Source organism: Homo sapiens, chromosome X (genome assembly GCF_000001405.40).
Source record: "Homo sapiens chromosome X, GRCh38.p14 Primary Assembly".
Classification (NCBI taxonomy): domain Eukaryota; kingdom Metazoa; phylum Chordata; class Mammalia; order Primates; family Hominidae; genus Homo; species Homo sapiens.
Window position 1 is genome coordinate 20518159 of NC_000023.11, and position 12661 is coordinate 20530819.

Sequence of the window (12661 nt, forward strand, 5' to 3'; positions counted from 1 at the left end):
TTTGCTGAGTATTTACTCTATGCCAAGCATCTCATTCGATTCTCTCAATAGTACTGAGATCTCTTTGAGGAAATGAAGAACACCTGATCTCATGGAGGAAAAATTGAGGTTCGAGAAGTTTGGTAACTTGCCTAGCTTATATAGTTCATAGTCTTCAATTCAGACACACAGGCCAGTTACACAGTTCAGGTCTCCGGCATTTCTGAGAGCCATTCCTGGGCTTTGGGTCCTGGGATGAATTATTCTCATCCTTTAGTGACTTGAGACTGCTCTCCCTGTCTCCAGGCTCATCCCTTTCTAATCTGTCGTTCCCATTGTTTCCTCAACGCTTCTCCTAAACTTGCATCTTACTCCCACCCTGAAATCTGACATTGTGTCTTCAGGGCTTTCTGGATGTTTTGACCTCCTTGATGCAGTGCACGAGACACTTCATGATCTGGTTAGTTCTCCAGTCTCATTTTCTGCCAGTGCCTCCCCCACCACTCCTCCCCCGGCTGCACTTTGTTCAGGCAAAGTGTGTCATATAGTTTCTTACATCTGTGTCTTCACATATGTGGCCGTTTCTTCCCAGAATGCCCCCCCGCAACACCCCATTTAATTCTTGCTCCTCCTAAGCTCAGCTGAAACACCTACTCTTTCTTCAAACTGCTCTAGCCACGATGGGGACTCTCAGGCCCTCTTTGTTTCCCCAGTACCCAGGGCCCTTCTTTAAGATAGTCGGTTTGAAGCGCCACTTTCTTCTGAAGCATTTTCTAACCCTCTGATTTATAACTGACGGTTTTCTCTGAAGTGAACTGGAGAAGAGGGGATGGACTGGAGAGGGAGCAGGATGGGGCGATTTTCTCAGGGTTCACTCCACCTCTGCGTCCCTCCCTCTGGTCCGAGTTCTATTATCTCACCCCTAGAGTATTACAATAATTGCATCCTGACTGCTCCCTTCCCTTCTACCCAACAGACTCTTCCCGACACGCAGGGCACAGTGATCCTTTTATATATAAGGCAGATCATGTGACTCCTCTCCTCAAAACCCTGTGATTCACGTCTCAGGCCGAGTCAAAATCCAGGTGCTAACAAGGGCCTATAAGGCTCCCCATCAGTGCTTCTTAAACTTTCACGTGCATATGAATCACCTGGGGATCTGATTAAAACTCAGACTATGATCCAGTAGCTCTGGGGCAGGGCTGGAGAGTCTGCATTTCTAAGCAGCCAGCAGGTGAGGCTGAAGCTGCTGATCCTAGGACTCCACTCTGAGTAGTAACCTCTCCGTGATCTGGTTTCCCGTTATCTCTCTGATCTCCTTTCTATTCTTCTCCTTGCTCTCTCTACTTCAGCCCCACTGACTTCCCTGCTGCTGTTCAAAGAACACACCAGAAATGTTCCCTTGCCTTAGGGCCTGTACAACAGCTATTCCTTTTGCATGGAATGCCCTTACTCCGGATAGCCACTTGGCTAACTCTGTTGCTTTCTTCACATCTTTCCTCAAATCTCACCTTTCCAATGAGGTCCACCCTGAACACCTAATTTAATATTGCGATCTTCCCCCTGCTGTCCCCAACCCTTCGTCCTGCACTCCTGAAATTCTTTAGCTCCTGTTTTTTTTTTAATACCTCTAATCACCTTTTCACATATTATATAAACTTATATTCATTCTATTGTTATCTGGCTCCTCCTTAATTCCAGAAAGCCTGTTCCTCACGAAGCCCCTGTTTGTGTGTTATGTCCATTGTTGTTTCCCAAGAGTCTAGAACAGTTGCCAACAAATACCATTTGAATTTTGAATTTGAATGCAGTGGGTGAGTGAGAAGAAGAAATGAAGATAATGTGGTGCAACTCAGTGTTTCTATACCACTGAGTACATTTTCCCCGAGTGCATTTTGCGTGGTGCTTGGCATATTGATGTGAGGCATTGCTTTGTACATTCCAAAGGCTTTTTCTTGGTCAAGATGCAGCAAAGCGCCTCATGCTCGAGACATTTCATGTTTTCCTTACTTTATTTCCAGATGACTCAAATTAAAATGTTATTTTCTTCATTCAAACTTGCCATTATCTTCAGAGATAAATTTCAGGAAAGAAATAAATAGTATTTGTAATTACTGCCTTGTATCTTACCTATGACTCAGCTGGGTAAGTGCCTCTTCCGTACTTCATTGTCTTCAAATTTAGTAAAGCAATTAGCTATGTCTTTTATGATGGCAGAAGTTGATTCCCTTTTAATTCTATCAGTCATTTTATCCTCCTTCCCCCTTCATTTTTCTCAATCCTCCTACATTACGAAGCTTTAACTAGGCATTGTTTAACTGACATTATAGTCAGTATTTTTTATATAACTAAGAAGATTATATCATGGGATAATGACACAAACTAACTTCATTGATTTAGCTCTTGAATTGATCTCGGGTACCGTGCACACAGATCAATAAGTTGCCTTGACTTTTTTTGAATTGGATCTGATAATTATCCATCCTCCAAAAAAAAATCTCTTAAATATTACATTGAACCATAGGAAATTCCTATTTTTATGAGTCAAAATGGTTGAACATTGGCAATTTTCTATGATTCAACCTAAATATAATCAGGAGGCTTTCTACCCACCTCCCTTCAGAGAACAACCAATTCCTCAAAAAAGAAGCAAGCCTTGTAGGTTGCAGAACAAAAAGCTTGCTAGAAAATAGGGCACTTAGGCTTGATGAAGGGAGATCACTCTTGCTGTTCACATGAAGTCTCCATCCTGATAGCTGGGCTCTTTGAGCAAGCTCTGGGCTGGGAAGACTGGCTGACACACTGGATAGGTAAGGCCGTGGGGGCCTTCTGGTGACCATTCACACTGGATGGAAATACTCCCATTCTCTTAAGCCCCCTCAGAGAAATCCATGCATACATCCTTTCCCTGAACCTTGTCACCAATCTTCCAATTTTGTTTCCTTCAGACCACGTTTCCCACTTAGATCTTTAACTGCTGCTAAGGAATTTTTTTTTTTTTCTAAAAGCTTTTTATTTTATTTTATTTTTTTGACAGGGTCTCACTCTGTTGCCCAGGCTGGTGTTCAGTGGTGTGATCAGGGCTTACTGCAGCCTCAACTTCCTGGGCTCAAGTGACCCTCCTGCTTCAGCCCTCCAAGCAGCTGGGACCACAGGTGTGTGCCACCATGCCTGGCTAGCTTTTTTTGAATTTTAGTAGAAATGAGGCCTCACTATGTTGCTCACGCTGGTCTTGAACTTTTGAGCTCAAGTGATCCTCCTGCCTGGGTTTCCCGAAGTGCTGAGATTACTGGCATGAGTCACCACGCCCAGCCTGCCAAGGAATTTGTGTAGATGCTGACGTTGGGCAATCTCTTTTTCCAGACAAAGCAGATAAAGAGATGTGCTGCTTGACATTCTATTATGAGAGGATTTCCCTTCTTCACCATCCTTTTGGGCCAGGCTTGAGTGAGGCTATGTTCTGGTTCTCTACCACTGTGTAACAAACCACCCCCAAACACAGTGGTGTAAAACAACTATTTCATTATGCTAATGGATTCAGTGGGTCAGGAATTCAGGTGGGGGACAGAAGAGATGGTACCACGATGTCGGAGGCCTCAACTGAAACACTCAAAGCCTGGGTTTTGGCTCCATGGCCGGGGTCTGGAATCATTTGGGGGCATCTTCACTTACATGTCTGGTGGTTGCTGCTGGCTATCAGTGGGGCCTCGTCTGGGCTATTAGCTAGAATGTCAACACATAGTCTTTCTGTGCACCTGGGTTTCCTCACAGCATGGTGGCTGGGTTTTAAGAACAAGCAACTTAAGAGAATCAGGTGGAAGCATACCACCTTAATGACCTAGCCTCAGAAGTCACAGAGCATCATTTCTGCCATGGTAACAAGTCTGCCTATATTCAAGGGAAGGAAATATAGGTCCCCGCCTCTCGATGGGAGGAGTGTCAAAGGCATGCCAGGAAAGGAATATGTGCGATAGGCATTATTGTTGCAGCTTATGAATGTTAGCTGTTATTAGGCAGTTCCAGCCCATCTTGTTGAATGCAAATTAATTTTCACTTATTAAGCTTTTTAATAAGTACCATGGGGTGGTTTTTGCAACCTTTTATGTGCTATTAAGCAGTTTTGCTCATTTTTCAGAATTGAGGCAATGTTTGTCCTCTTATTTTTAAAATTTCTAATTCATTGAGGACATGTGTGTAGAGGTATCAGCTATTGGCTGGAAAAGTGGCCTTCCATGGAAGAAAACTGAGGTTTATTTTTCAGTGAATTCAAACTACAACTAGCTATATTGATTACTGATAGCCCAAAGCCCATGACAATCATAATATGAGTATTAATATTTAGATCCAGTTTTTCTGCCTGTCTTAATATCTGGAAAGAGATTTCTGTGTCCTGTCCAGCAGCAAGGCAGGCATCAGCTCAAGCTGTCTTCAGGCCGACAATGTAAGGCATCCTAAGCTTGTCCTTGCATTCACATTGTGGTTGCACGTGCTTTGTATTATAGCTTCAGTCCTGACGGCAAACACTGTATGAATGCTGGCCAAGTAATGCCAAATATGGCTAAGAGAATTTTAAATGTAAAATAAATGTTTATGCAAAGATAATAAAAACATGTTAACTAAATTAAATGAACAATGATGGTTGAAAATTTATTTTTAAAAGGACAAAAAGGAAAATGAGAAGGTAGGCAAAATTACTTTTATAAATGTGTTTAAAATTGTATGCAATTATCCTAGGTTGCAAAGAAATTATAAAAACATGGATTGGATATTGTAAATATTAATTCTTATGCTAATTTGCTTTAGACAATTCATTTAGAGCTAAAGACAAATGTAACAAGGCATTTGAAAACCAACATAGCAGGAATAAGTGGATAAGAATGAACTATAAATAAAAATGTAGTGTGTGTGTGAGGACTCAAACTTCTGGAGATAAAATTGATAAATATGTTTTAAAACACTTAAAGGATTGAAACTCACCCCATGCTGTAATCTCTGTAAAGAAAGACACCATGTTTGTCTCATTCAACATTCGATTTCCATTCTATTAATAGTTCTTTAATTATTTAATGGTATATCAAATTACCAGCCAAACTTGGAATATTCAGCTTAATTTTTACTCAATTTGTTGCTTTAACTAATTGTGTTCAACCCAAACATTTTCAACCAACTTATTTTCTGTTAATCTGAAGCCATGCTAGGCAAAGCACTATTATAAATAAAACAAACTGTGAGATACAATTCCTGGCTTCATTTTTTTGGGTAATTTATTTGAGGACAAAATGTGTAAGAAATTTCTTAAGATTTAAATAATAGGTCAACACAACAGAAGATCAGTTGCAAGGCTTTGTGTGAATAATTACTGAATTGACTGTAAATTTCCATTTCTTATAATGTGGTGTATTAGGTAATGTTAACCACTCTGTAAAAAATGAAGACCTAATGGATAAAACATGATGAATACCTTTTTAAAAATACAAACTGAGATAACGAGAAACTAAGGGAATTTCCTCCAAGAATGAAAAATGAAGGGGAAAACTGAAAAAGCAGAACTATAAGGGTGGAGTTAAAGCTCTTGTTGCTCAGGATTGGGGGGTGGGGGGTGGTGGGTTTGGCTGGTCTCTGTGACTAAGGGCGTTAGGTTTCAATTACCAAATGGGGACAAGCACCTGTACTTCAGGCAAGAACAAAGCCAGAAAGTTATGACTGCATACAGTCACTATGAAAAGGTGGAACAGAAGCAAAATCTATCCACTGCCAGGGAGATAACCCCTCTGTTCTCCAGGGCTTCAACCTGAAAAGTTGAGACCTTGGTTCTGCTCTCAGTCGAATTTGTGGTTCAAATATATACTCCTTTTATTGTCCAGTAAAATACAACCTGTGAGATGAACATAAAACGTGGTCCCCTTCCAGTGATTCCCCCGGTAGAAGTAAATTGCAGTCTTGTCTAGAAAGCCACATCCTCAACTCAGACCACAAGGGATTCATGTAGATAAAGCCCTACTAAAGATGAGTTCACCATTTTTTTAAAAAGCACGAGGATACATGCCACCACAAGTGAGAGGCAGCCAACACAACCAGCCCCTGGATGAGACCCTCATATCCTTTAGATGATGAGATTAAATATGTACTGTGAAATATGACTGAACATATTTTAAAAAGGAAAATGTGATAAAATATCAAGGTACTACCAAAAAAAGACCAGGCAGGCTTGAAAAAGAATCAATTGATTTGCCTTGAAATGAAAAAATGTAGTCATTTAAATACAAACTCAGTGGACAGATTAAACCACAGATCAGACAGAGCCAAAAAGTGAATTACTGAAATGGAAGATAGAGCTGAAGAATTTACCCAGAATGCAACACATTCTAGGAGTGTGGGAGCAATCACTTCAGATTGGCACAATTGGAGAAAGCATTGTGAAGGAGATGAAATCTTAGCAGAATTTTAAAAGATGTGTAAAATCGGGTAAAAGAAAGCATTTCAGAGGAGTAGCATGACATGGCATGAGCCAAATTTCAAAGGCTAAATTCAAGGCTTGTTTAGGTCACAGTGAGTTGACCACTTTGGCTGAAATGGAGAGTTTGTATAGCGAAGTAGAGAGATTAAGCCTGATTAAGAAGGTTAAGGCCTAAGCCTAAAGCCACATGAAATGTTGTAATAATCACATAAAATTACTTTGTTTAAAAATAAAGCAGACATACAATGTCTACTATGCTGACATTGTAGTCTTTTTCACACACACCACTCCAGCTTGGCTGGCCTTGCTCTACCAAGTATGTGCTGTGTATGCCTACTTACAATGAAGGGGTCATACCCCCTATTACTCTCTACACAGAGGTACATTTCAAAAGCTTTCAGGTTAAAGTTGATTAAAAAGAGAAACAAAGTTTGTGGAACCTGTAGTTCTGCCAAGTTGGGAATGATGCTAAAAGCAGTTTATAACTTTTAGTTGTTGAAAAAGCCTATATATTATCTTCTCTTAAACTAATTTCCAAAGGTGTAGGTTTGGTTATCTCTAATTCCTTTCAAAAGGGGGGTGGTAAAATGAATCCCAGCACTGGAAATTTAATAAGCCCTCAGAGGAGAAAACAGATTTCAGATTCCCCAGCAAGAGATTAACTCAATTCCAGGTGAATTATCTCGTTCACCTTCTTCATGTGGCTTCCACCTATATATATATATATATATATATATATATATATATATATATATATATATATAAAATGCAACACCCAACCCTCCAACAGGGAGAAGGACAGCCTTACCTTAGGTGATAAAGGTGTCAATGAAAATTTACTCACACAATTTCTGAGCAAACAGATTTGCATAAAGCTGCCCATATGCAGCATTAGCAGGATGAAATAAAATATCAGGAAATAATGTAACAATATTGCAGCTAAATTAAGTAGGTAGATATATAGATAAATCAATAATAGAAAGTAGGTAGGTGGAAACAAAGGAACACAGCAAAAATAAATAAATAATTAAATAGCAGAAGCCCCTCCAAATCTGGAAGAATAAGGAGATTCTTTATATGTACTACAAGTTATAAAAGACTCCACTAAGAATTCAAGAATACAAGTAGTAAATGACATGTGAGAGGTAAAGGGAGATTGTAGAGATAAAGGCCTACCTTTACATTAAAAAATTAATTAGGGATAGCAAGAAGCAGAATATTTAGAGCTGAAAATAGGCATGGAGAATATTTAAGCTATCTCAGTATGTGCAGAGGGGACAAAATAAATAGAAGACAAGATAATAGAAATAGAAGACAGAAAATATAATGCAGTACTAGGCAATTGTGTTCCTGAATGCAGAAGAATAGAATGCAGGAAATATTCTCTGAAATGAAGGTAAAAGGACATATTAAGATCAAAGTGGGGTATCATTTGTATCAGGGAAAGAAAGATACAGAACAACTGACATTCAATACTGAAATTCAGGTTGAAAGAACAAATTTCAATTATGCAGGTAATTTAAAAAATCAGGAAAAGTTTCAGAAAAACTCTTGGTCTAAATTGCTTTTATTGTGACTGTGTCATGAGCCCACCCCTGGATCAGTTATTGTCACCATGGAAATGGGCTATTACTCTTATTGGCTAGGCTGTGTCACCTGGAGCCAGGGGTGTATTTAGCCTCACATAAATCAGTGAGAGTAGAAGAGGGATGAAAAAATGCCAGATCTTGTGACCAAAAAGAGGGAATGGATTCTGTGAAGACCAGAAGAGCATCTGTTTTATACACTATATTATTTCCCCAATTAAAGTGTAAATTTCTTGAGAATAAGAACTCTGTATTACACTTCTTTCTACCTTATGCAATGACTACCTCAGTTCCTTTTTATTATGTAGGTATAGGTATTAAATTAATAAATAAAAATATTTAATTTGACTTGACACAAATTCCTTTATTTGTGAAATGAGGAAGTTGGAATACTTGAACTCCAAGATCCCTCCTCATTTAAGAAAGTTCTATGAAAGATTTCCTAAGAACATATTATATATGGGGCCTCACATTAAGCATTTTTTGTGTACTCTTGCAGTAAAACATTTGAACATTTGTTTATAGCTATAGCTCATGATAGATGTTTTTAACTTCAGAAACTTCAAAAGTTTTACAAAGTCATATTAGATGAGTGTATTCTCATATGTCTTCTTCAAGTTGATGATTCACAATATAAACAGTTGTCCTTATTGTGCATAGGCCTTTTCCTAAAATGCATACTTTTGATTGAGTATGTTTACCTCTTACTGCTTTTAAGCCTCTAAACAAGAAATGAGAGTTTTATCTTCATCTACTCTCCTCCCACTTTTGTCTACTTCAAAATTCGGTATCTTGATTAATTACCATCTCCCATTTTGCTTAGCCGGAAACTCTACCAACTTCCTTCCTTATCTTCTTCCTATCTAATTGCCCACCAAATCCTATTAATTCTACCGTCAGATGTATTTTAGGTCTCTCTTCACTTTAAATTTCTGCTCCCATCCTTACTGCCATGGTTGAATTCCTGTAGTTACTTACTACATATTCCTTCTATTGTATTTGCCATACAAATACGCCATGGTAAGAGAACAAGCTTGGGCTAGGTTGCCTGGTTCAAAGTCTGGCTCCAGCACTTAACTCCGTGTGACTCTGGAGGGAGTTATATAACCTCTCTGAGCCTCAGCTTCCTCTGTAAAACAAGGCTAAAAACCTCACAGGAGTACTGAAAACATCAGATGAACTAAAATGTATAATGCACTTGAATCAATGTCTGGCACCTAGTAGTATTACGTAAATATTAACTTATTAATAATGGTTTTGCTTATAGCATATTTTTGCTGTAAATATTTAAGTGGTTGATTCCTCCAGTAGACCTTATTATGGGAAGGGCTACGTTATTATTAGTATTTAAAAAATAGTAGCATGAGTATTTTAATCGCTAGCTCTTTGTATAGTGTAGGGGCATTTAAAGATTTAATCCAATGAATTTCACTTGTCAGAATAGGACAGTTCTACATAACAACCACTAGATGGAAGCAAAACCTTTTATAAAATCATTTATCACCAGAAACTGCTGCAGTGTACGGAACATCTACCTCTTTTGTCTCTTTTATTTCTACAACCTAATTATCACCAAGAACAAAGTAACACCACCACCATCATCAATAACAACAGCTACAACAAAGGCAGCTCATGAAAAGGCCCCAAACTTTGTGTATTGAACCCAATTCAGAATTAAGGTTTTGGAATGTATTTGCTATACAATTTAGAAATTATTAGTCAAAAAATGCTGACAATATTGTCACTGAACCGAAAGCCAGCTGGCACCCAGCCACACTTACATAAGAAGAGTCTCTGAAGGCTTGTCGCAGGAAAGATGTAGACCTCCTGCTCTATGCTGTCTGACTGCCACATAACGACCAATTGTCCCTGTGAATGACACATCTCTCATTATTAATAAAGAATTGCTGCTTTCCTATATTGTTTGGGATGGGGTGATTTATAGGTAATTGATGATTTAATTACTGGGTTTATTGTCTTCTTTGGGAGTTTCCGTATCTCATCTTCAAATATGTATTTGTTATCTTTCATTTGCAATGAAGGGATTCATTTCTTTCTCCCTTGTTTACTTTCAGGTCCTCAGCCTTTTCTTTCTCCACATGCTTCTTATGGCTGACAATCTCATATCAGTGACACCTCCCATTACAGTACTGTCAGCAAGGATTCCCAGTGGGGAAGGGGCTATGCATAGTTGGATTACCCCAACCCCAGATTCTGTTGAGCTGTTAGCTTTCTCTAATTAGTCCTCTCTATCATCAGAAATGAATTGACACTCACTTTTTCTCGCACAGTGGGACTTGCTTTCTCTAACACCCATAGGCATTCGTGGGCTCTTTCACTTTTCTCCCCCCTTCCTTTCTCCACCCCCTCTCTATCTCCCATTCTATCTCACCTCCCTCTTACACTCTCTCCCTCTTAACATTCTACTTATTTTCCTTCTACCGTGCAATGCTATATTAACCATATAACAACAAGAGAACATCCATATAATATAAATTTGATCTCAAAAGTGAGAAGAGTTTTCTTGCATATAAAATATGAGATATCTTGGGAGAAAAAAAGTTTCTACTTAAAATCAATGCTTCACCATTGCCCAAAGCTGAATGAGCATCAGTTGAATGCACAGCAGCGCCGAAGTGCAATGACCTACTTAGGATCACTCTAAATTACTTGGATGAAAAATGATTTCAATTCAAATCTTTTTTCTTATCACAATTTCTTTCCAGGTGGAAAGATGTTTTACTTGCCCACTCATTGCTCTAACCAAATCTCCATCTGAGATTTAGACTTCTTTAAATGCAGTTTGGAACATTAGCAAATAGGAGTCAGGTTATTAAAACTAAATTGAATTTCTCAGACGTCCTCTTTTCTTTCCACAGAGCAGTCAAGTGAGAAAGCTCATCCAAGGAGCAGGAAGGCTGATTTTTGGTTACCCTCCTGTGATCACGGCTGCTCTGTTCACCTTAGTCACTAAACACATGCTGCCTTGGTAGGAAAACAAATGAGCTAAAGCCATCCCCAGCACACTGCTGGCCATCATCAAGACTTGAAGGAATTTCAAAGAAGCAAAATATGTGTCTGTATTCCCCTGGGGCAACGTGAATCCCGCTAAGTATTTTGCTTTCTGGATACACAAATGTAGCAAGAGGTTCTATTCTATACCTGTGTGCTTGCTGGCTGGCACAAAATGTATGCACAACTACAGACGTCTGGATTTGTTTTCACGAGCAGCTGATGGAGGATTCTCCAAGCACGTGGGTAAAACTGTGGCCGTGTGATCTGCCTTCTTGGTCTCACAGCTGGCCTCACGGCTGCTTTATATAATGTGGTTTGTTTGCTGATGGGCTCGTGTTTGATTGGTTCCAGAGTGGGAACAGCAAAACCTGTGCATAGTCCCCGTGAGTGCTAGACTCAGCCAGCTGATTTGATTTTGTATTTCTTGTGCACCAAGAGGTCAAACTGAGCATCACCAAGGAAATAAACGTGGGTGCTTGTGCACAGCGAGGTTAGGAATGATCTGGATGAATAATGGAGGCAGTTGAGGTGGCCTGAATTAGAGATGTCTGTGGGTGGGGGGGAGAGTGAAAAAGGAGAAGCAGGGAAGGGAATGATGAGGGGAAATTCTTTCAGCCACTAGCAGCTAAGCATAGATCAGTGGAATGCATTCCTTATCAAATGTGAGCAGGAACCAGGGAATGGAATATTGCCGAGTGGAATGCCTAATAAAGTAACTGGCTTTCTCTTGCTGCCCTTTCCATCTAAATACTTAAGTAAAGATATTCAGCAGATTGCAGGGCTTTTACAAGGAGGCACAAAAGTAGAAAGAAAAGATTCATCAATGGGGGATTTGCCACTGAAGGCATAGCTTATTGTACTGTATTAAAGAAAAAAACTCCACCCCATTTGTTTTTAGTCAAAACACTTTAAAATTATCTCAATTTGCTTTGGAATTCATTTTGTCTGTCTTCCCAAATTGAGGGAACTGCACACCGCTTTTGACTATTTTAGTAAGAGTTTAACGTGAATAGCCCAAATCCTTACACCGCTGCCCCTTCGGAGTTGCTTTAACTTCTATAAATACACCCAGCAACAAGGTATTTTGAGAGCTCCCTAAGTAACAATGCTTTGAATTTCTCTTGTGCAAATCTCCACGAGAACTAAAGCAACTCTCAGTGGGTCCTCCATAACCGCCAACTTATGACTATAAAGTTGAACATTAATGAGTCCTCTGTAGCTCTTTCCCCCCCAATAAAATATTCTTTTTGGTATGATAATTTTGTTTACTTCTCCCGAGAGCCAGTCGTTACCAAAATTTACCATCAGAGGGCGCACATTCACAGAAAATGCAGCAGTTCCCTGCTCTGGCGGATTGCTTCCCCTCCTATTTGCAGGATGGAAGAAACAGGTTTTAGTCGGAGGTATTTTCAGTTCAAATTCAAGTTCTAGAACTTTGATTTATTATTAGCCTGTTCTCTTACTTGGGTGGAAGGGAAGAGAGAAAAACAGGTCTGTCTGCAACCATTGTGTTCTACCCCCATTCAGGGACAGCCTCAGAAACTGCAAGGTTTCAAAGATAATCAAAACAAGTCTGATCGCTAATGGATCTGAGGGCATAGGCTCCAGCCTCTCTAAAATGACA